This window comes from Homo sapiens, chromosome 1 (assembly GCF_000001405.40).
Source record: "Homo sapiens chromosome 1, GRCh38.p14 Primary Assembly".
Taxonomy (NCBI): Eukaryota; Metazoa; Chordata; class Mammalia; order Primates; family Hominidae; genus Homo; species Homo sapiens.
The window spans coordinates 20,933,972-20,958,725 of record NC_000001.11 but is presented as its reverse complement, the minus strand read 5'-3'; the positions used below and the strand labels follow the sequence as shown (position 1 = coordinate 20,958,725).

General features: G+C 37.5%; 1 protein-coding gene across 64 annotated transcripts in view; it reads left to right on the top strand.

The window, feature by feature from the left end:
- EIF4G3 (eukaryotic translation initiation factor 4 gamma 3) overlaps window positions 1–24,754 on the top strand; it is a 370,606-nt gene that overhangs the window by 218,172 nt on the left and 127,680 nt on the right. For 30 of the 64 annotated variants that reach the window (XM_047433340.1, XM_011542370.3, XM_047433319.1 and 27 more), the window contains 2 exons: window positions 8,615–8,723; window positions 16,396–17,235. In XM_047433340.1, the coding sequence (XP_047289296.1) occupies window positions 8,615–8,723; window positions 16,396–17,235 (949 nt within the window). Of the gene's footprint in view, window positions 1–8,614; window positions 8,724–16,395; window positions 17,236–17,330; window positions 17,483–24,754 lie in introns of those variants that run through there. The other 34 variants (XM_047433321.1, XM_047433324.1, XM_047433231.1 and 31 more) reach the window with 4 other exon arrangements.

Sequence of the window (24,754 nt, the reverse complement as noted above, 5' to 3'; positions counted from 1 at the left end):
TGTACATTTATTTTGTAACCTGAGGCTTTACTGAACTCATTTATCAAATCTAGGAGTCTTTTGGAGGAGTCTCTAGGGTTTTCTAGGTATACAGTTATATCATCTGCAAACAGTGATAGTTTGACTTCCTCTTTTCCAATTTGGATGCCCTTTATTTCTTTCTCTTACCTAATTGCTCTAGCTAGGACTTCCAAAACTATGTTGAATAGAGGTGGTGAAATGTAGGCATCCTTGTCTTGTTCCTGTTGTCAGGGAGAATGCTTTCAACTTTTTCCCATTCAGTATGATATTGGCTGTGGTTTTGTCATATATGGATTTTACTATTTTGAGGTAAGTCCCTTTTTTGCCTACTTGGTTGAGGATTTTATCATAAAGGGATGCTGGATTTTGTTGAATGCTTTTTCAGCGTCTATTGAGATGGTCATATGGTTTTTGTTTATAATTCTTTTTATGTGATGTATCACATTTATTGACTTACATATGTTAAACCATCTCTGCATCCTTGAAATAAAACCCACTTGATCATGATAAATTATCTTTTTGATGTGCTGTTGCATTTGGTTAGCTAGTATTTTGTTGACAGTTTTTATATCTGTGTTCATCATGGAAATTGGTCTGTAGTTTTCTTTTTTTGTGTGTTCTTTCCTGGTTTAGGTATCAGGGTGATACTGGCTTCATAGAATGATTTAGGGAGGATTCTCTCTTTCCCAGTCACTTGGAATAGTTTCAGTAGGATTGGTACCAGTTCTTCTTTGAATGTCTGGTAGAATTTAGCCATGAATCCATCTGGTCCAGGCTTTTTTTGTGTGTTGGAAATTTTAAAATTACTGATTCAATCTTGCTGCTTGTCATTGGTCTGTTCAGGGTTTGTCTTTCCTCTGATTTAATGTAGGAGGGTGGTATGTTCCAGGAATTTATCCATTTCCTTTAGGTTTTATAGTTTGTATGCATAAAGTTGTTCATAGTAGTCTCGAGTGATGTTTTTTATTTCTCTGGTGTTTGTTGTAATGTCTCCAGTTTCATTTCTAATTGAGCTTATTTGGATCTTCTCTCTTTTCTTGGTTATTCTAGTGAATAGTCTATCTATTTTTTCAAAGAACCAATGTTTTGTTTCATTGATCTTTTGTAATGCTTTTTTTGTTTGTTTGTTTGAATTTCATTTAGTTTTGCTGCAATTTCTGTTATTTCTTTTTTTTTTTTTTTGAGACAGAGTCTTGTTTAGTTTGTGCTTGTGCTTGTTTTTCTAATTCCTTGAGGTATGACATTAGGTTGTCAGTTTGCACTCTTTCAGACTTTTTGATGTAGACATTTAGTGCTGTAAACTTTGCTCTTGGCACTTCTTTTGCTGTACTCCAGAGGTTTTGATAACTTGTATCATTATTATCATTTGATTCAGATAATTTTTCCATCTTGATTTCATTATTAACCCAGATACCATGTAGAAACAGATTATTTAATTTCCATGTATCTGTGTAGTTTTGAGGGTTCCTTTTGCCCCCAAGAACTTTAAAAATCATTTTCTTAAGCCCTCTTAAGTCTGCCTTCAAGCTTTTATTTTGAGTGTCCGGGTTTCCTCTCATCATTTCTGACCTTGGCAACCTTTCATTGCTTTCAAGGATGTTCTCTATTGCAGATGTGTATTGTCTTGTCAGGTCAGTGTTTAAAGAAAAAACAATATTTCATCAATCTGAATGCTGTTAGCCCAAGCATACACCCTCTAGTTTGTTAAGTTGTTCTGTTATTATTTACTCCCTTTTGCATCACATATTAAGGTTTCTGAAGGGATTTGAGTTTGTGACCCCTTCGTTATAAACTATTTCAGGGCTAGGCGCGGTGGCTCATGCCTGTAATCCCAGTACTTTGGGAGGCCAAGCTGGGGGGATTGCTTGAGCCCAGGAGTTCACCAGCCCTGGCAACATATCGATACCCTGTCTCTGAGGCAGGAGGATTGCTTGAGCCTGGGAGTTTGAGGCTACAGTGAGCTGTGGTCATGCTACTGCACTTCAGCCTGAGTGGCAGAGCGAGACCCTGTCTCAAAAAATTGAATAAAATAAAATATTTCAACAGGTGTTTGATGTGCTCTCCTTGTTTTTTTTTTTTTTTTTTTTGTAAATTATACTGTAGTCTACCTAAGTTGCTGAGGTTCTAAGCCTAGGACTCACCTTTAAATCCTCTTAATTTCACTCTCCACAGTCATTACATCAGCAAGTCCCATTTGACTCATTCCCACCACCTTCACTGCTGTTATTGTAGCCTAAGCCACTTTGCTCTCCTTAGACAACAGGAACTTTCTCACTCATCTCTCTGCTTCTGTCTTGCCTCTCCTCTGTTGATTCTGTACACAACAGCCCAAGTGAGTGATCTTTTTAAAACATAAATCATATCACACCGTTTCCCCACAAAATACTATCCAGTGTCTCTTCACTATTGACTAACTGTCCATACAAAAACATACAAAAGTCCATATTCATAGAATTTTTGAGGTGTGTAATGGGGATTATGGGAACTACAAGATGAGATTTGGGTGGGGACAGTCAAACCATATTAGTATAGAAAGAATTAGTATAGAAAGAACTGATCTATGTGGTTGATGCCTATTGTAGTCCTTACATCCTGTAATTCCTGCATTAGAATTCAGTGGAATTATTGTTACCATTATATTATTGCTATGGTCATTATTTATTGTTTTTTATTGCCTTTGTATTAAAGGAGGTGCTTGTTATGGCATGTCATATATTATTATATTATGAGAACACTTCAGAGCTTCAGGTTAGATACCCAATTTTTGACTTGATCTCTGTACTCAGTTATTTCACAAGCCCTACAACCTCAAAACTGGAGTTCATGGTTTTCCTCTAACCAAACCCATGACTTCCAAACCTTATGTCTCCTCCAGTGTTCCCTTTCTCAGACTGGCCCCTATCTCAGAAACCAGAAACCTAATGTTTTTCTTTTTACCCCTCTCTCCTCATAGATACCCTCTCTACCATGTGTCATCAGTTACCTAATCAAGCCCAGTCAGTTTACCCCCAACCTTTAAGTAAAATTAAGTAACTGCCCCCCATTATTACCACCAAAATTATTTCCCTTGGACTACTGAAGTAACCTTGAAAATTGCATTCTTGTAACTGCTGTTTCCTTGCTCTAGTTCATTCTCCATGCAGTGGTCAGAATTATCTTTATAAAATATCAGCCAGGTGTGATGGCTCATGCCTGTAATCTCCGCATTTTAGGAGGCTGAGGCGGGAGGATTACTTGAGCCCAGGAGTTCAAGACTAGCCCAGGCAAAATACTGGGACCCCATCTCTACAAAAGATAGAAGAAAAAATAGCTGGGCATGTTGGTACACACCTGTGGTCCTAGCTGCTTAGGAGGCTGAGGTGGAAGGAACACTTGAACTCAAGAGGTCGAGGCTGCAGTGAGCTGTGATTGCACCACTGCACTCCAGCCAAGGTGACAGAGTGAGATCCTGTCTCAAAAAAAAAAACTAAAAAATAAAACACAAATCTGATTATATCATATTGCTGCTTAAAACCTGGCCCTGGCTTGCCATTGCTATGGGGATAAAGACCAAAAACCCTTGGTCTGGCCTGTAAGGCCTGTCTGCCTGACTCCTGCCTGCCTCATTTCACACCAGATTCCCCTGTTCTTTCTGCATCCCTCTTACCTTTTACATAAGGGAGTTGATCATGGAATACTCTTCCTTTTAGAATCTTCGTACATGTGTTCTCTCTGCATGAGATGCATCTAACTGCCCTTCCTCCTACATGCCAACATTCACATTGATTTTTTGAAAGTCAACCTGAATGTTGCTTACTCAGAATATCTTCCTCACATACGTCACAAAGTCAGAACCCCAGATTATGGGTCATCTTTGTACTCTTAACTTTCCCAGTAAAGCATTTATACCTATAGTGATTAAATGATTAATTTTGTGGTCTATACCATATGTTTCCTTTGATAGAATATAAGCTCTGTGAACCCAGGAATGTTGTCTTAGCCATGAGTAGATTCATAGTGTTTTGTACAAGTTAAACATCAGGAGGAAATACACACATATTGACACACACCGTTCTAATGAGAGAATGGGAGAAATTCCTACGTAAGAAAGAAGCATGTTTTGGTAGTTTTTCCTGGCATCGTTAAGTATATTATTGTTTTGCTTCTTTTTTTTTTTTTTTTTTTTTTTTTGAGACGGGGTCTGACTCTCTCGCCAGGCTGGAATGCAGTGGCGCGATCTCGGCTCACTGCAACCTCCACCCCCCGAGTTCAAGCAATTCTCCTGCCTCAGCCTCCCGAGTAGCTGAGATTATAGGTGCCTGCCACTGTGTCCAGCTTATTTTTGTATTTTTAGTGGAGATGGGGTTTCACCATCTTGGCCAGGCTGGTCTTGAACTCTTAACGTCGTGATCCACCCGCCTTGGCCTCCCAAAGTGCTGGGATTAGAGGCGTGAGCCACCTTGCCTGGCCTTTGTTTTGCTTCTTAGCCTTCATAGTGTTTCTCAGTGGAGGCTATACTTGTTTATCCACAGATTTTATATATGTTAAATACATGAGGTATTTATACAGGATTATTTTAAAGTCATTGAATGGGATTCTTATGATGACAGTAAATCAACTCTTTGCTTATATTTATGTAACTATTTGAAGTCTCTGGCTTTCTCTAAATGAATTACAATACAGGTCAGCAAATATTTTCTCTAGTGGGCCAGATAGTAAATATTTTAGACTTTGCAGCCATATTGTCTCTTTTAGCACTCTTCGATTCTGCCATTGTGGCACAAAAGCAGTTATAGAAAATATGTAGATAGATGGGTGTGTCTCTTCCAATAACATGTTATTTATGGGCACCAAAATTTGAATTTTATATAATTTTCATGTGTCAAGAAATACTGTTTGTCTCTTGTTTTCCCCACCACCCCGCCAACATTTGAAATTGTAGAAACTTACCTTGTGGGCAGTACAAAATCAGGTATATGGCCCCAGGATTGTAGTTGTTGACCCTTGTCTATAACCACCTCTGTACTTAAGTATTCTGTCATTTATGTGATTAAAATAGAAGACAAAAGAAGGTGACCCCTTTTTTGTGCAAAACAATGTGCCTATGTAAAGAAAAATGAATTTTGAATTGTGCAAAGAAGTATTAAAGAACAAATTTAGATTCTGTTGCCTGTTTACTTAATAGGTAAACATTATGTTTTTAAAAAATGAATTCCTCCAGTATGTGGGCCTAAGCTTACCATGATCTCTTGAGGTCAATACTTTAAATTTAGTATATAAATCTTTGAGTAGGTTCTAAAGGAGAATTTATAAAGAATTTTTCTCAAACACTATCAGGAATCTAATATCTTGCCCTCCCTTAAACTCTTTTCACTCTAGTTTATAAGTGAGAAACACTTTATTTTTTTTCCTTGTACCAATCAGAACCTTGATTTTGAAAAATTTGACAGGGGAGTTTACCATTTACATAATTGATGAGCTGTTGCAACAGTGTGCGAAGACTTGCTAAATGACCCTGACCTTTTAACTCTGACTTCCTTAGCATCTTTATTGAGTTATTTTATATTTTGGTAGTGATTGCCTTTCCAGAATGATTTTATAAGTTTTCATTCCCACCAATAGTGAAAGTGACTAAAATGCAGTGGCTTTGAAATTCCTTAAATATATTCTTAACTGTCTAGCTTAATTTCTTCATATGTATCAAAATGCATACAGCATTGGATGTGATGTTTTGTGTCACAGTACTTGGTATGTTTCCTGATTTTTCTGACTTATTGATTAGTAAAATAGTTCATCATTATTTTTTCTTTGGGAAGATAAGGAACTCCTTTGTTATAGACTGTTTGTTTGTTTGTTTGTTTGTTTGCTTGTTTTCGAGACGGAGCCTTGCTCTTGTTGCCTAGGCTGGAGTGCAGTGGCGCGACCTCGGCTCACTGCAACCTCCACCTCCTGGGTTCAAGCAATTCTCCTGCCTCAGCCTCCCGAATAGCTGGAATTAACAGGCACCTGCCACCACTCCTGGCTAATTTTTGTATTTTTGGTAGAGACGGGGTTTCATCATGTTGGCCAGGCTGATCTCGAACTCTTGACCTCTGGTGATCTGTCTGCCTTGGCCTCCCAGAGTGCTGGGATTACAGGCATGAGCCACAACACCTGGCCTGGTTGAGTTACTTCTTTAGGAGAGAAGAGATGAAATTGGAGGTTAAACTACAATTTGACAAGATTATCCTAAATTAAAACTAATTCTGAACAAGACTAAAGTATTGAATTCTGGCGGGGCGCAGTGGCTTACGTCTGTAATCCCAGCACTTTGGGATGTCAAGGTAGGCGGATCACAAGGTCAGGAGATCAAGACCACCCTGGCTAACATGGTGAAACCCTGTCTCTACTAAAATACAAAAAATTAGTTTGGGTGTGGTGGCGCACACCTGTAGCCCCAGCTACTCAGGAGGCTGAGGCAGGGGAATCACTTGAACCTGGGAGGCAGAGGTTTCAGTAAGCCAAGGTTGTGCCACTGCACTCCTGCCTGGTGACAGAGCAAGACTCCGTCTCAAAAAAAAAAAAAAAAAAAGTGTTGAATTATATGTTAATACGTTATGATTTTATTAGTACTGTTGGAGGCTTATAAAATGATAAAGTTGAAGGAGACTGTAGGATCTTTAGTTCTACATTTCATAGCTGTGAGACCTGAGAAGTACTTTCCCAGCATTTGTGGCTATATACCTATGTACTGGATACTTGGATTTCAAATTGTAACTTAACAAACATATTATCTCACTCCTTTCTTACGACTCTTTATACATAGATTCTTTCTAGGACTTTGTTATTTTAAAATGTCCATCTTTTATATGATTGAAGGTATTTTAGATGGAAAAATCATTGACTCTAGTAGCCTTTTACTGTCTTAAACATCTTACTTTTTCTTTGAATGTCATTTTTGTGACCTACTTTTAGCACTTACCCTGCCCCCCCCTTTTTATTTGGTTATTAATTTCCCAGGCAATTGGAGTAGTTAATATTTTTTTCCTTTTAGGTAAATGATACAATTTACAAATCTTTTTTTCCTGGGAAATGTGGTTAACTGCTTAATGAATGCTAAATAACATGGAGTGTTTCCTTTGTTCCAGATCTCTTTTCAGCCTATAGAACTGAAAAATCGGTATTTTTAGTTTTAGCTGTGAACCTTTCTATTGAATTTCAGTAAGGCATTTTTTTCCCACTGAAACTAAGGATTCAGAGTAATTACAGCAGTGCTATTTTCTTTATTTGTCCCCGTGAAAACAGTAACTCTCCATTTTTTTATATAGAAATATAATTTTAGTAGTCTTCATTTAGAATTGTGGAATATGAACATTTTCTTGGTCTAATGAATAGGTGAAATGATAGCATTTTCCCTATTTCTGTCTATTATTCTATATAAGCCTTATATAGTCAAATATAAATTTCATGTTGTACATTCTGAAAAGCATAGTTACTTAAATGATATCTATCATCCTAAATTGTATGTGTCCATTTCATTTTATATTCCCATTTTAAGTGACACTTACTGACTTGAAAATATTTTTTATCAACTCTCACTTTTTAAGTGTCTCTGTTTGCCCACACTCACCCACATCTTAATCTCCCCATCCCTACTCCCCAGAAAAAAAAAAAGTAAAAAGAAAAATAGAATTGTGCAGGGAGCTCTACTCTGATAGCACTGATAGAATTCGTTGTAGGATATTATAGATACCAAAAAAATTGACCTTAGATCTCCGAGGAGAGACACTGCTTTGTTTCGTGGCTTGTGTAACCTCAAATCCTGAATGAATACCTGCCTAGAATGTGATGTAGAATGAATGTTCATGTCCTCTCTTGTGTAATTCTGTTCCCTCTAAGTTGAGCAATAGCTGTGATTTTTCTCAACCTATCCTGCTTGGATTTTGATGGCCATTTTTCATTCTAATACAATGCCTGAGTGAAAATGAGTTTCCTTATATCTCTGAAAAACCCAATATTTTAGTCAAGATTTCTGATTCTGAAAATACCATATTTGACCCAGAACCTGTAGACATTTTATGGTAAAATTGCTTTATTACATACTTTCAAAGTTGCATTTCACCTGTATGATTACATGGATAAGTAGCAGGAATCATTTTTCAATATTGTTTTCTTGAATCTGTAACCGCTTTTCAGCCTCATTACATTTTCTGTTTGTCCTGCTTTGCTAGGTAATTTATACATGAAGTTGACCAAATCCTTCTTGGTCTTTGGGAGGGTGTTAAATTCCTTCTCAGATGTGTCGTCTATTGTTAGGTTGACAAGTCGGCTTGTCCTTAGAAGGAACACTGGGGAATAAATTGTGCTAATGATTGTTGTGCTGTCTTCTCTTGCTGTGGTTAATAGTAATCATTTCTTTTCCTTCCTCTTTTTCTGCTGCCTCTTTCTTTATCTTCCCTGACTTCCCATGTACTTTTGAATTTATTAAATTGGACTATATATTTTTTCCTTGCTTTCCTTTTTTAATTTTGTGATCTCCTGTGCTCTACTGTCTTCCCTACTTGCTTGGGTTCCATGTTGCTAGTTTTTATGTTCGCACGCTCATTATCACCCTTTTTTGTACTTCAAATCCCAGCAGCTGCCCAGCCAGGTCCCCGAGCACAGCCCTGTGGTTTATGGGACTGTGGAGAGCGCTCATCTTGCTGCCAGCACCCCTGTCACTGCAGCTAGCGACCAGAAGCAAGGTTTGTGTATGACTGTTTTCCTCCCTCTTATCTTTAGTCTCTTTTTTATTAATTACATTGCCGTCAGCATTCAAGAGTAAGAGTACAGCATCCAAGGATTATTTAGACACCCACCTTTAAACAAAGCTTTGAGGCAGAAAATTAAAGTATTCTGCCTCTAGGAAACTAAAGTAGGGATGATTGGTAAAATTATTTCATACATTTGTTTAATCTCTCACTGTTAGTATCTGTATACAGTTTAAAGGTTAGCTGCCTTAAACTGCCCTTTAAAACAAGGTGGGAAGTGGAGGGAGAAATCCTAGCATATATTACTTTACAAGAACAATACAGTTTAGCTTATATATTCAGCATGTCCCTAGGTATCTTGCTATTTTAAAAAAGAAAAAAAGATAAAACATTTCTTCTTACAAGTTTGGGCTTCTATAGCCACATTTGGAGATGGAGCCAAGTTCCAATCCCGGCTCCATCATGCACTAGTTATTTGGTCTTGATTGAGCCACTGACCTTGTGTGTCTCAGTTTCTTCACTGATAGAATGGAATAAAGACCTATGTGCTTGACAGGATTACTGTGGGAACATGCCTATCACAGGAAAAGTGCTTAGTAAATTATAGTCATTAATGCTGTATTAAGGAATAGTACACTAAGGTCTCTGCTCCTATTGAACTTGAACATGAAGGTGCCAAATGTTTGTTGAAATAAATACTGTGCCTTTGGGAATATAATAGAAAACTTAAAGGAAATCTAATACCAGAAAGTGGGATATCATAGTCTTTCTTTCCTGCCTAGTTGTATTTTAACTTGACCTTTGCTAAAATTGAGAGAGAATTCTAAACATAGTTCGGGGAAGCAAGTAACTTTGACCCTGCTTTATGTTTCAGATTTCTAAAAATGATTGGATATCAATATGGAAGCCATGTACCTTCTTACTTTCTTGAATTATTTATTCCTCCAAACTATTTGTTTATTCTATAGCTCTATAGTTAGTATATAGATTTTCTAAAAATTATTCTTTTTTTTTTTTTTTTTTTTTGAGACAGAGTCTTGACTCACTGCAACCTCCTCCTCCTGGGCTCAAGCTATTCTCCTGCCTCAGCCGCCCGAGTAGCTGGGATTACAGGCATGCACCACCATGCCCAGCTAATTTTTGTATTTTTAGTATAGACGGGGTTTCACCATGTTGGCCAGGCTGCTCTCAAATTCCTGACCTCAAATGATCTGCCTGCCTCAGCCTCCCAAAGTGCTGGGATTGCAGGCCTGAGGCACCATGCCCGGACTAAAAATTATCCTTTAAAAAATATTTAGGAATGGCCCATAAAATAGATATATTTAATATTAAAGGTTTTTGGGTAGACTGCAAGTTAGTCAATCACATTTATAAACTTTCTGAAAGATGTACTTCTAATACATGATTTCATTGATTTTTACATCAAACAAAGATTATGATATGTGTTTTTAGTATAGAAATTTCATTTTCCCCCTGAGTATTGAGAAGCCTGATACTCTTGAACAGACAGGTCCTATACTGTATTTGTTATATAAGATAGTTTTAAACCAAAAGATAGTTAGTGATCCCTAATGTGGCATGCTTCAAAAAACTGCACTGTCAAGAACTTCTTTCAGCAACATTTTGAGTTAAAGGAGAACTCCTGCATGCTTCAAGCGAATTCTTTAAATAGTAAAGCCATTTACCTTGCGAAATTACAGACTGTAGACCAAATGTGGAAGTCGACTTGCTACCTTCAATGATAAAGTCGTTTTGAGTCAAAATTCGGAATGTTTTTAATCTTAGTGGAGAATAATTCTCAGAGTATTTCCCTTCAAAACTTCATTGCACTTTCGCAAATGTGTAATCTTTTTGCTGGTTAGAATTATGCTAAGCATATTGAATACTTCCCATGCAAAGAGGCCTTAAAATATATCTTCTGTGCAGACTTTCTCTGTAGCTGTGCCAGGATTTTTAAAAAATTTATCACATACTTTGATGATGATAGTTCTGTCCTTCCTGAAGACAGTATTATTGCGTTTGCCATTATTTTGTGAAAAATAATGTTAAAATTTTTAGATTATGAGATCCCTGCATTTTGTCATATTTAGGCCCAGATTTCCAGACAAGGAATGCAGACTTGATTTCCTCTCAGGTTTTTGTTTTTGTTTTGCTTAGTGGAAATTTGAATAACAACATCAACATATCTAACTGGTGTATAATATAGGCTTAATTGGAAAGTATTCAGGTTACCTTGATGAAAAGAAAAACTTGTAGTATTTTAAGTGCATTTCAGAGGTTATAACTAATGCTCTGGAATTACTGTTATCTTCCTTTTAGTACCAACTATTCACCAGAAAACTAACTCTCTTTCTTTGTTTCTCTGTTTCTGCCTTACTCCCTTTCTCTCTCCCTTTCTCTTTCTTTCTTTCTTTCTCTTGCTCTCTCGTTCTTTCTTTCATCTCTCTCTCTCTCTTTTTTCTTTCTTGGCTAGTCAAACAGTAACATTTCTAATTTCTTCCATAGCCTGCCGATAGCTAAAATATTACTGTTTTCAGAGTTTTTTTTTTTTAACCAAATTTATGTAATGTTAGAAAGGGCTCACTATTTTTTTCAGAGAAAATGGTTTTTTTTCTTTACACTGAGGATTTTTTTTTCTTTTTTCTTCTATTTTGAGACAGGGTTTCGTTCTATCACCCAGGATGGAGTGCAGTGACACGATCATGGCTCACTGCAGCCTCCACCTCCCAGGCTCAAGCAGTCCTCTCACTTCAGCCTCCTGAGTAGCTGGAGCTACAGGCATGAACCACCATGACCAGCTAATTTTTGTATTTCTAGAGGCGAGGTTTTGCCATGTTGTGTAGGCTGGTCTCAAACTCCTGAGCTCAAGCGACCTGCCTGCTACGGCCTGCCAAGGTGCTGGGATTACGGGAGCTACCTCAGCCAGCCAAGGAGTTTTTAAAAATTTCCTTCTTCACTGTAGATTCCTTTTGAAATTAGCATATAAAAACTGACTTTTCTCAAAGATTGTTATATTACTCCCAGAAACAACAGTCTCTACATTTTGCAGATTGTTTTTTTCTTTCTCAATAGAAATGTCTTTACTGAGAGTTTGTACTCAGTTACACAATCTCATGTTAACTCTAAAGTCTCCCTCCTGCTTGATTGACTTAAGTACTTCTGTTTCCATAAGCCTCCCCTTTCCTCCAAAAAGTTGGAAGAATGTGGGATTTGAAATCATTCTCAGACTTGAGCACTTGCTACTTATATGACTTTGGGCCTGTGACTGATCTCTAAAACCCTCAGTTTCCTCATATGTAAAATAGGCAAATAATTTCTACCCCAACAATCGTGGTTGTGAGAATTAAAAGGGACAATGTATGTATGGTATTTGACCCAGTTCCTGGCACATAATAAGTGCTTAACAAATGTTAGCTGCCATTATTAAGCTTCCGGTTTCTCAGAGTTTTTGACATGAAGAGCTAGAATATTTACATGAAGGCCAAGGTTCCAGACAAATCTACCATTTTACATTTGTTTGGCACCTTATGAAGACATAGGGAATACTTCACATTGGTTTGTAGAGAGAACAACTGTTGAATGAATTAAAATTTTTGCTTGGTATTGATAGTACACAGCTGAAATGATTGCTATTTACTGAGTGAGAAAGAACATTAAATCCATTGTACTGAGGATATGGTATGGATAATTAAAGGAGTTAGTTGGTGCCTTAGTCTTAATCTTAGTGCCTGTTGAAAGCACCTAGTGTGTTCAGTGAATGGTATTCTGTTTGTAATTCAACCATTCATAGCAGTGTTGTTCATTTGGGACTCTGCTGGCATTTAGGACCTATTCTTTGTCAAGTGAGACTGTACCTCAAATTGCAGGATGCTCAGCATTCCTCTCTCTGCTTATTAAATGACAATAGCATCTTCTCAGTCATTGAGAGACTTGTGACAACCAAAAGACAACCCAGTCTTGGTCATTGATTCCACCACCATATGAGAATAAAAGGGAGCAATTTTATTCTTCTTATAAATTTGGCACTCTTTATGGAAACTACAGCTAAGCAAAATGAAAAAGTATGTGTCTGATTACTCAGAGCCATTATTAATAAGCTGACTTTCCCCTATGCACATATGTTAGTACTAAGCATTTTTTTAAGTTACCAAATTGGGTTCTACATAGAGTTTTGTGCCCCACTAAAAACAAACAAACAAACAAACAAATTCTTGCCAGATGCAGTGGCTCACGCCTGTAATCTAAGCACTTTGGGAGGACGAGGCAGGAGGATTGCTTACGAGGCAGGAGGATTGCTTGAGCTCAAGAATTCAAGACCAGCTGAGTAACATAGCGATACCCTGTCTCTACAAAAAATAAAAATATTAGCCAGGTATGGTGGCTCGTACATGTGGTCTCAGATACTTGGGAGGCTGAGGTAGGAGGATTGCTTGAGCCTGGGAGGTGGAGGTCACGGTGAGCTGAGATCACACCAGTGCACTCCAGCCTAGGCGACAGAGCAAGACTGTGTCTCAGAAACAGAACAAAACATATCTTTTATTACAAACAACTTTCCATATCATTAAATACTCTTTTAAAAACATATTTTAAATATTGCATAGTATGCCATTATATGCCCAGATTATCATTTCTTTAATAAATCTCTATTGTTGAACATTTAGTTGATTTCCTTTTTTCTCCTTTTTTCTTGTATTATAAATAGTGTTGCCTTAAATATTCTAGACATCTATCTTTGCTAACCCTTTCATGATTATTAGAAAAATTCTTAAAGCTGGAATTCCTGCAAATTCCTAAAGATGGCCAAACTTTTTATAATAGAAGTCTTTAGAGGGATAAAATAAGTGTTTTTTTTTTTAATTTAGCTCTACTGTGTTTTTAGCTTTCTGCATTTTCAGCTTTCTGTATTAAAGCTTTAATTAGTGGGTTAAAGGACTTTTATTTTAGAATGAAGAACTCACAATTTGTTTTGTTTTGTTTTGTTTTGTTTGAGATAGAGTCTCACTCCACTGTATCACCCAGGCTGAAGTACAGTGGTGCGATGACAGCTCCCTGCAGCCTCAACCTCCAGGGCTCAGGTGGTCCTCTCACCTTGGCCTCCTGAGTACCTGGGACCACGAATGCACACCACCATGCCCAGCTTGTAGAAATGAGGTCTTGTAGTTTGAGACCTCCTGGGCTCAAGTGATCCTCCCCCTTGGCCTCCCAAAGTGCTGGGATTTACAGGCATGAGCTCACCATGCCTGGCCTAAGTTTTTCAATACTAGATTTTTCTGAAGTGTGTATAGAAGTTTATCAATCATAGGTCTACTTTTGTTTGATTTTTTACTATCAGAAATTGTTTCCCAACATTAATAATTGAATTGACATACTCTTATTAGATATTTAATGTGAGAATCAATTTCTCTTTTTCTCTCTCTCTCTGTCCCCCCACCCCGCTCCCCCTCTCTCCTTCTCCCCACTTTTCTTTTCCCTTTTTCATTTTGAGACAGCGTCTTGCTCTATTGCCCAGGTTGGAGTGCAGTGGCATGATCACAGCTTGCTGCAGCCTCGACCTCCTGGGCTCAAACGATCCTTCCATCTTGGCCTCCCGAGTAGCTGGGTCTACAGGTCTGCGCCACCTCACCTGGCTAATCTTTTAATTTTTTGTAGACAAAAGGTCTCACTATGTTGCCGAGGCTTATCGCAAATTCCTAGGCTCAAGAGATCCTCCCGTCTCAGCCTCCTAAAGTGCTAGGATTACAGATGCGAGCCATCACACCCTGCCCTATTTTTAAATTTACTGCATCTAGGTTTCAGTCAGTGGTCATAAAGGGTGTTAGTCTGATAAGCTTTCACAGTGGTATTATGTAATCTGGGTGACTTATTTACTCCAGTGAGCTGGAAATTATTTTCATCAAAGATATTTTGATAAATACATATTTGTTATATATGGTGTGTTCCATCTAGAACGAACATACACACACACACACACACACACACACACACACACACACACACACACACACACACACACACACACACAAAAAAAATAAAGACAAGTTTTCCTGAAATATTTTTGTCTGTTGCCCTGTCAACTTAGTCTGAGGGATTTGGCAATGAGAGCCTATTGATTCTATTTCATCACTGCAGTAACTAAGAAAAGTCCAATTTTAGAAGCACCAGCTTCTGTGCCTATAAATAAAAGTATATTTTAAGGCTAATAAGTGTCATTACAGTGAATGAATTAATAATATCTTAATGGTAATATTTAATACCTATTTATCTGATAAACTGCATATTTGCTTTCACATAATTACAATTTATTGTAAAGACTCACTTTCATTGATGTATAAAAAATTCTGTTGGAGAAAGTAGTCTCAGTTTAGGTTGTCTTTTAATAGTGCTTGAATCTTTTGTTGTCATTTGATAAACATACTCATGAGTATATGTTTTTCCATGGAGCCTGTTTATTGTGCTAAGGAAGCACAAGGCTGGAAGCCAGTCTAAATCTCCTTTGGTTTCCTCCACTCAGGGATGAATCACATATCAATTTACCTGGAATTTATTAATAAAAATGTGGAAATTATTGTTAATTATTGTTCCTTGTGTTTTTCTGGTACCCGCATTATGATGACCAGCTTCTCTTCTCTCTCCGTCTCATTCTCTCTATATATACACAGATGCATTTTTGTATATTATATCAAACTATTTCATACTATGAAACACTAGTATTTTCATACTATATGTATATTGTTTTCTTTTTCATTGGATTTATTCGTGTATTAACTTTGTTTTCTCCTTAATTGTTTTACATGTAAAGACACAAGATATATTTTGTTTTTTTTGTTTTGTTTAGAGACAGGATCTTGTTCAGTTGCCCAGGCTGGAGTGCAGTGATGCATTCGTAGCTCAATGCAACCTCAAACTCCTGGGCTCAAGTGATCCTCCCACCTCAGCCTTTTGAGTAGTTGGGATTACAGGCATGTGCCACCAAGCCCAGCAATTTCCATTTTTATACCTTACATTATTTCTGGTTATATACTTCCATTGAGAATTGAAGGGTAAATTAATTTAGAAACTGATTTTTATCAGTTACTGAGAATAGTTTGATTTCACTGATAGTAAATTTCATTAAATAAAATGTGATGCTTTATCTTGAGTTTTTATACAAGTAATACTTTTTAAAATAAAAATTATCTCCCCAAATACAAAAATATATAGAATAAAAAATAACATCAGTCCCTTTATAATAATTTAATTTTTAATTGTTTGCCCTTGTACTGTTTTGCCACTGTAATATATCCTTGGAAAAAAAGTTTTTTAGGGAACGAGAAGTGGTAGAAATGAAGGTTTTCCTACCTTAAAGAAAAGCCTCACTCTTAAACCAAGAATGGTTTAGCCTCAGTTTTGGTGAGCTTTTCAGTTGTATTCTTGATATATAATTTTTTGGTGAATAGATTCCTTCTCTTACTCCAAAACAGACTTTATGTATTGGATACCAAGTAAATAGTAGGTTTAAGTAAAAAAAGAAAAGAGACAATGTTTTTGGCATACCAGAATAAGTCTAATATATTGGTCTCTGTTCTGTTACCTGTAATTTAGGGTAAGACATTGAAAGAATTGGCCCAAGGCAATATGTAGTCTCTGATCCAAGAATTATTCTTAAAACTTATTTTTTTTTCCCCAGAGGAGAAGCCAAAACCAGATCCAGTGTTAAAGTCTCCTTCCCCAGTCCTTAGGCTAGTCCTCAGTGGAGAGAAGAAAGAACAAGAAGGCCAGACATCTGAAACTACTGCAATAGTATCCATAGCAGAGCTTCCTCTGCCTCCATCACCTACCACTGTTTCTTCTGTTGCTCGAAGTACAATTGCAGCCCCCACCTCTTCTGCTCTTAGTAGCCAACCAATATTCACCACTGCTATAGATGACAGATGTGAACTCTCATCCCCAAGAGAAGACACAATTCCTATACCCAGCCTCACATCTTGCACAGAAACATCAGACCCTTTACCAACAAATGAAAATGATGATGATATATGCAAGAAACCCTGTAGTGTAGCACCTAATGATATTCCACTGGTTTCTAGTACTAACCTAATTAATGAAATAAATGGAGTTAGCGAAAAATTATCAGCCACGGAGAGCATTGTGGAAATAGTAAAACAGGAAGTATTGCCATTGACTCTTGAATTGGAGATTCTCGAAAATCCCCCAGAAGAAATGAAACTGGAGTGTATCCCAGCTCCCATCACCCCTTCCACAGTTCCTTCCTTTCCTCCAACTCCTCCAACTCCTCCAGCTTCTCCTCCTCACACTCCAGTCATTGTTCCTGCTGCTGCCACTACTGTTAGTTCTCCGAGTGCTGCCATCACAGTCCAGAGAGTCCTAGAGGAGGACGAGAGCATAAGAACTTGCCTTAGTGAAGATGCAAAAGAGATTCAGAACAAAATAGAGGTAGAAGCAGATGGGCAAACAGAAGAGATTTTGGATTCTCAAAACTTAAATTCAAGAAGGAGCCCTGTCCCAGGTAAGCCATTCTGCCATTAATCTCGTGCTTGCTGAACATGAAGAAGAGGCAGTGTTTGAGTTATTTTTTAATTGGCTACTTTCCTTGACTTCCAGAAACATCGAATGAATGCTGAAATTCCTAGTCTGGTTTCTTCAGTGGTGTGTTTGTGTTTTAGTACAACCTGCAAAAGAGTTACTCCATTGTCTAAAAATGCAAATGAGAATTTCCAAATATACAAAATGCCTCCAAGGTATATGTCACGAAACATGTTGGGTTTTGTTGTTGTTGTTGTTGCTATTGCCTCATTCATATGAATTGGTTTCTCAATGCTTAATTTTGCTGCTTTGGGGCTAGAAAACAAAAAACCAGGATGGTCTATAGTCCCTAATTCTGTCTTCCTAGAATTTTAAAACCCAGTCAATCCTAAAGGAACTCTTCTATGCATGACCAGTTTTTAAATCTTGGATGTAGGAAGATAGCAATCAGAACATCAAAGGTTTATAACTATTTTTGAAAATATAATGCTGTTGTTGATTCACTTGCAGGTAAGCTTAACGTTCTCTCACTTTGCCTTTTGAAACAGTTTTATTTTTTGTGTACATTTTTACATGGTCATTAATATCCTTGGAGTATTATATTCTTCCCAGTTCAAATTATTTCTTTTTAATGTAGCATCACCTGGGACCTTAGGAACTAACCATTGGGTTATTGTAAGTTTAATCAAAAGTTATCTGAGGCTTATCAGCTATTCTAGGATAAGTTAGCCCATAGGAATATTGAAGTTTTGGCTTTGAACAATTCAGCACAGCCTATCTTCTGCAACATTGCCCTATGCTATATAATTTCCTTTCTCTGTGCCTGTCAGATTAAGTAATGCGTATGTAAATTGGGCTTTTTGATAAATGAGTGCTCCTCCAGCAGTTGATCCTTGACATGCAGTGAATAGGTTTTGGTCACCATCATCCTCAGTATTTTTGTCTATTTTGAGGTGTATAATAAGGAAATTTGACAAACCCAAAAGCTGATCCCTACTTTTGAGATGTGGCTTTTCTACCCAGCTCAGTTCTTGAGACAATTTCCTCATCAGTGTCTGTAAGAGGTGTCTGGCCTTTTGGAACTGCAGAACATCTTGTAGAACACCATGAGCCAGCACAGGAAAGAAAACAATGCAAGGCAATTGGAACAGTGAGAAATTTTTCATAAATCTTTGTAAATTACCTGTTTCCTCAACTATCTGGCTTCCATTGACATCAGTATTCATAGTGCCATCACTGTTTTAGGAAACTTGTTCCTTGGTGGAGAGATGACCTTAGACCTTGTTTTGTCAGTTACCCTTTAGAAAAACAGCCTTGGGGCCGGGTGCAGTGGCTCATGCCTGTAATCCCTGCACTTTGGGAGGCCGAGGTAGGTGGATTGCCTGAGCTCAGGAGTTCGAGACCAGCCTTGGCAACACAGTGAAACCCCATCTCCACTGACATACAAAAAAAATAGCCAGGCATGGCAGTGTGGGCCTGTAGTCCCAGCTACTCGGGAGGCTGAGGCAGGAGAATTGCTTGAACCTGGGAGGCAGAGGTTGCAGTGAGCCAAGATCGTGCCGCCACACTCCAGCCTGGGCAACAGATCGAGACTCCATCTCAAAAAAAAAAAAAAAAAAAAAAAAACTAAACAACTTGGTGTTGGTGTGGCTGTAGGTAAATGCCCTCCGAAGAAACACGTGTTTGTTGGAGAACAGTAATTTGTTTGACACTTCAATGTTCATTTTCATTTGTAGTGATACGATAGTTACAAAAATGAGAGAAACTAATGAACAAAAATGTTTTTAAAATGTAAAAGCAAAGAAAAACAAAACAATCATAGGAAATATAAGTTGAAGATACAAACCATACCTCAGAATTGAAATAAGTGTAAAGTGAAAAGACCATGCATCAAAATCATACTTCACTCATTTCTGACATATATTCTTTTTTTAAACATCAGTTTGCCACTTAGATGACCTGATATTGCAAGACAGTGCCCAGGGATGGATGGGCAAACAGAATTTTGGTTTAAATAATGTTCATACCATGGTACATTTGTTTGAAATGCAGATGCTCTCAATATTAGTATTGTGAACACCAGCACCTTAATCAAAGAGTATAGACTCTTCAGTGGTAATCCAGAGAGCACTTAGAAAAGAAAGAACTGTTTTTTTAATGACTTGGAATAACAGAGGTTTGTGATGTTGGGAGGTAAAGTTTCTTGGCATTTTTCTAGTCTCCTGATTTTTTAACCTATGTGTTTAAGGGAATTACAAGTTTTATAATTTCCTTGTACATCTTAATAGTCTTCAAAATCCAACAGTAAATGAACTTCAAGAACCCCTGCAACTCTAGCTTTTTTTTTTTTTTTTTTTAATTTTTTTTAAGATGGAGTCTCGCTCCATCGCCCGGGCTGGAGTGCAGTGGTGCAATCTCGGCTCACTGCAACCTCTGGCTCCCAGGTTCAAGCAATTCTCCTGCCTCAGCCTCCTGAGTAGCTGGGATTATAGGCGTGTGCCACCACGCCTGGCTTATTTTTGTATTTTTAGTAGAGACGGGGTTTCACCTTGTTGGTCAGGCTGGTCTCGAACTACTGACCTTGTGATCCGCCCGCCTCAGCCTCCCAAAGTGCTGGGATTACAGGCATGAGCCACCACACCTGGCCAGCAGTTTGTAAATTATAAAGCCTCAGAAGCATTTCTGACCCATTCATTTCTGTCCGAATATTTTTTAATGGTTTTGTCACAAAAGTTAACAATGAAAATTAAAATTACCTCCAGTCTTTAAGTATATCCACCTGACGTGGTCATATGCTTAATGACTATAATTTATTTGCACTTATTCACATAATATTCACTTATTATACCTTGTTTACTTTGAGAAGTTAGTAAATCATAACAGCCGTTTACTTTGAGAAGTTAATAAATTGTAACACCAAAACAGTCTGGTTTGCCTATGAGTCTTTTGGTGGTGACTTTTGAGAATAGTTTTTACTTGTCTCTGCCTGAGGATGAAACACCTCAAAGCTGGCTTCAGAAACCTGATACATAAATAACATATCAGTTGGTATAGAGATAGTTGGTTAAAGCAGTAAAGTTATAACATAAGGGATATGGTATCTTTTAGTTCTGCTGCAAAACATTTTCTTGTAACTATTCTAGATCATATTTCTGAGTGAATAAAAATGCATCAGTTGAGGCCGGGCGCGGTGGCTCATGCCTGTAATCCCAGCACTTTGGGAGGCTGAGGAGGGTGGATCACCTGAGGTCACGAGTTTGGGACCAGCCTGGCCAACATGGTGAAACCCCGTATCTACTAAAAATACAAAAATTACCCAGGAGTGGTGATGCGCCTGTAATCCCAGCTATTCTGGAGGCTGAGGTGGGAGAATTGCTTGAACTTGGGAGATGGAGGCTGCAGTGATCCAACATCGCGCCACTTCACTCCAGCCTAGGCAACTGAGCAAGACCCCATCTTAAAAAAAAAAAGAAAGCATCAGTTGTTTTCGGATTGAAGAACAAGCTCTGTAAAATTAGAATTTGGTGTGTATATATCTTCAGTGTACTCTGAAAAGCCTCAGTTATTGGCCACACTTTTAATATCACCGTCACTTTAGTAATTAAATGCATAAAACTAGATATTAATTGGATGATATATTAAAGTCTTGGGAATTTTTATTGTTTATTCTCTGTATCTGGTGGGAGGAAAAAGGAGTGTTTTGAACTTGTGGGAAAGCATTCCCCATTAATCATCCAGGAGTTTGTTTTCTACAATTTTAGGAATGTATATGATGTATAGTATGTAACATTAACTTTCCCACTTTTTAAAAGAATTGTGACTTTTTTATTTTATTATTTTTACCTGTATCAGATATAAAACCATTATTTAAATTTTCTTAGGCAGAGGGAGATTTCTAATTTTTCTATTTATTTTGTTTTTTTGGCTCTTGCTTATAGTACATTTTTAATGTATATTTTGTAAGTTTGTTTTATGAACTTATCCAGATAAATTTTCCTGGATGTAGATTGATGGCAAGTTATTCTAAAGCAGATTTGTGTTTACTTTATCTGCTGCATGTCTTGGGGAAAGCATTTGCTGGAACTAAATCTGGGTTTAATGTTTGTTAGAACTAAATCTGGGTTTAATGTCCTAAAGCTACAGTTCTATCCCAAAGCCTAAGGACAGCCATACCGTATGGCTTGGATACTAATTTTCAGGGTAACAGCAATCTTCTCTCCATCCAGTTGAAACAACGTCCTTTCTCATCATCACTGTGTTGGTTCAGTGGTTTATTCCCTCTCTCTCTTTTTTAAGCTATCTTTTCACTGAGCATGTCACCCATTTGGGAGTCTCAGAGCTTTATGTGAGCATCTCAGTTCCAGGTTCCCACTTTGCAGGGATCCAAGATCTCTCTTTTCTTATGGGTGTTAAAAATACAAATTCATTGGTTATAGAGACTGGCACACCCTTCTACACCCCCAGGAATGTAAGGATGGCATCAGCCACTGACCTGTAGTTTACCTTATATTCTCGTAAGCTCAGCTAAGGATGTAGAAGGGTTTCCAGATTCTGTAGAATATAACATAGGAAGTTTATTTCTCAAATGGAGATACGATTATATGTTTTGGTAATGTTAACAAAATACTGATCCATGTAGCCAATCAAGTTGCTGCTTTCTCTTTTAGTTTAGACTTACTGAAGTGTAAAGGGAGCATACTTCAGTGCAAGAAAAATATTTTAATAACAACCCTTGCTTTATTCTCAACTGTGAGAGTATTCAGAGTACTTTCAAAGAAATAAACATAGCAAACATAAAACCAGAGATATAAAAGTCTATCAGTTTTCCTAGATTAAACTAAAAATGACTAATCTTTTAAATAATAAAATTTATTCTAACCTTTGCTCAACTTACATATTCTAAAATATATTTGAAATATCTCTGGAAGATTTAGTCGCTGGGGCCAAAAGTAGATTGCCAATGGTTTGAGTATCCTGTTGGCCTAATCACTATACTACTATGCATCCTTATAATTTAGCTTCTACAGAAACGTGTTCTGGAAACATGGAAACAGGACTCCTTACACATTCCTGGTTCTTTGTCATCTACCAAAACAAGCAGAGTGATCCTTAAAGCAAGGACCATTGGCTTCAGTTTTCAGAGGCTTGAGTCTGAGTGATCCTTAGGGATAAATAAAGGTTTTCTCCACCTTGTTTGTAAACTGTTTCCAACAAAGCTGCCTAAAAGGTATGTTTCTGCCATCCCATTCCTATTTTCTTGTTTCCCTCCCCAGTAAACTCTTAGGCATTCCTTGGAAAATACTGATGCTGGTCAAATTCTTTTATATACTGCAGAATGAGCCCAGACACCTGTTAGTTGAGCCTGTTGGCAAGTCCCTTACGTAGTTCTTCCTTGCCTCTTTATGTGGGATAGATTTCCCCATTTTTTACAGTAGTTCATGTCTTTCATCATGAGCCCTAAAGTCTCAGTCATTGGGTATTAACTTAGTTCTACATCTTTCTGAGTAGTTATACTTTGTTCAAAATGTAGCTCCCTTTTCCCCACATTTAGTAACTAATCCTCCTCCATGACAAAGGACTATTGTACTGACCTGCTTCCAGAGAAGGTAATTCAGTCAGCCTAGAGCTGTGCTCCCTCAGTCTTTTAAAGAAAACCTCTACAGGAAAACCTAGTCTTACTATAAGTTTTCCCTTTCTCTAATATCCATCATTACCTTGCACACAGTTGCCTTGAGAACTTTTCCTGATTGCCTTGGAAAAGATAACTTTCCATGTTCCTAACACAAAGAAATGATAAACACTTGAGGTGATGGATACCCCAATAACCCTGATTTGGTCATTACACATTATGTGCTTTTATCAAAATATCACATGTACCCCACAAATACGTATGACTATTATGTATCCTTAAAAATTTAGAATTAAAAAATAAAAGCACAAGTATGCCAAAATAAGGAAGATAAGTTTAGTAAGACTTTATTAAGAAAAAAGATAATTCTCTCTACTAATGCATAAAAATGCCCAAAATACATTTCCTTCAATATATTTCTTTTCTTCATTTTCTATTACTGTATTAAAATACTTGGTAATTTAGTCACAATCATAATAAAAATTATTGTACATTTTTCTGTTTCCAAAGGCTTTCCCAGGCATTTCAAGCATTATTCTTGTGATTTGAACAGTTATTCCTGGATATAGTTATTTCTGTTTTGCTGATGACAAAAATAAGCCTCAGAATGGTAAATCAGCTTTCTCAGGCTCACAGGAGAATTACAGCCCCTTCCTTTATACGTCATGTTTCTATTAATCTTTCAGAGATGGTATGTCAATACAAAATTACCTCAGGATTTGACAGTTATACTTTATGCTTGTGACCTAGGTTCATAGTGAAACATGAAAGCCCACCTGTTTGAACCACAGTAGTTACTGAAGGCCTACTGCGTGTCAGTCATTGTTCCATGCACTTGAGATTTATGAATGAGTAATACAAAGATCCCTGCCCTAGTGATGTATTAGGAAGTTTTAAGTGCTGTAAAAATAATAAAACAGGGTGAGGAATGCAAAGGGGCAGCAGGTTGTAGTATTTAAATAATATGATCAGAGTCATAGGCCTCAGTAGGAGGTAAGATTTGAGCAAAGACGAGGGGGATTATTTGAGCTACCCTGTACAAAATCTGTGATTTTCCTCTTTTTCCTTTTGAAAAACATACCTATCAAAACCCTTGAATCAGTACTATAACTCCTACTTTGTCTATTAAACTCCAGTAGGCAGAGCACTACTGGAGAAGATCACACCACTTACAGTGGTGTGAATGCAACTACAAATTCACACTGTCCATCCCAACCATTATTTTTATGGTTTTTCTGTTGAAAATCCTTTACTCTGCCCAGTGCTACTCACCTGCAGCACATGACCTCGTCTCCTTCTTTATTGAGAACATTGAGGACACTGGGTACGCCTTTTTTTTAACTTTCTGCCCCCTTACAAACCTGGCTATATTGAAACCTTCATCAGACTCTCTTAGTTGTCTCTTACAGTCTCGTATGTATTCACTGCCTCTCTACCACCTTCTTATTGTCTGTCTCATGCCAGAGACGCTCTCTGAGTCCCATATAACCATTTAGCTGCCACTTAAATGGTATCTTTTTCTTCTGACCCAAACTGTTTAAGAATAGTCTACCATGTCTTCTACTATTCTTTTCACTATTCAACTAACATATAGTCTGATTTATGCTCCTAATATGCTAGTGGAATCTTCCTCAGCAGGGTCATCAGTAGACACACATTTATCTTCCTAGTCTTTTTGCCTCATTTTACCACTATTGGTCTCTTTCTCTCTCTCTTTTAAGTTAGGTCGAGTGTAATTTATATGCAGTAAAATTCACCCTTGTTAGCTAGCATTCATTTCTGTGAGTTTTGACTAGCACAGAAAGCCATGTAATCACACCAGTCAAAATATAAAACAGTTCCATCAGCTGGGCGTAGTGGCTCATGCCTGTAA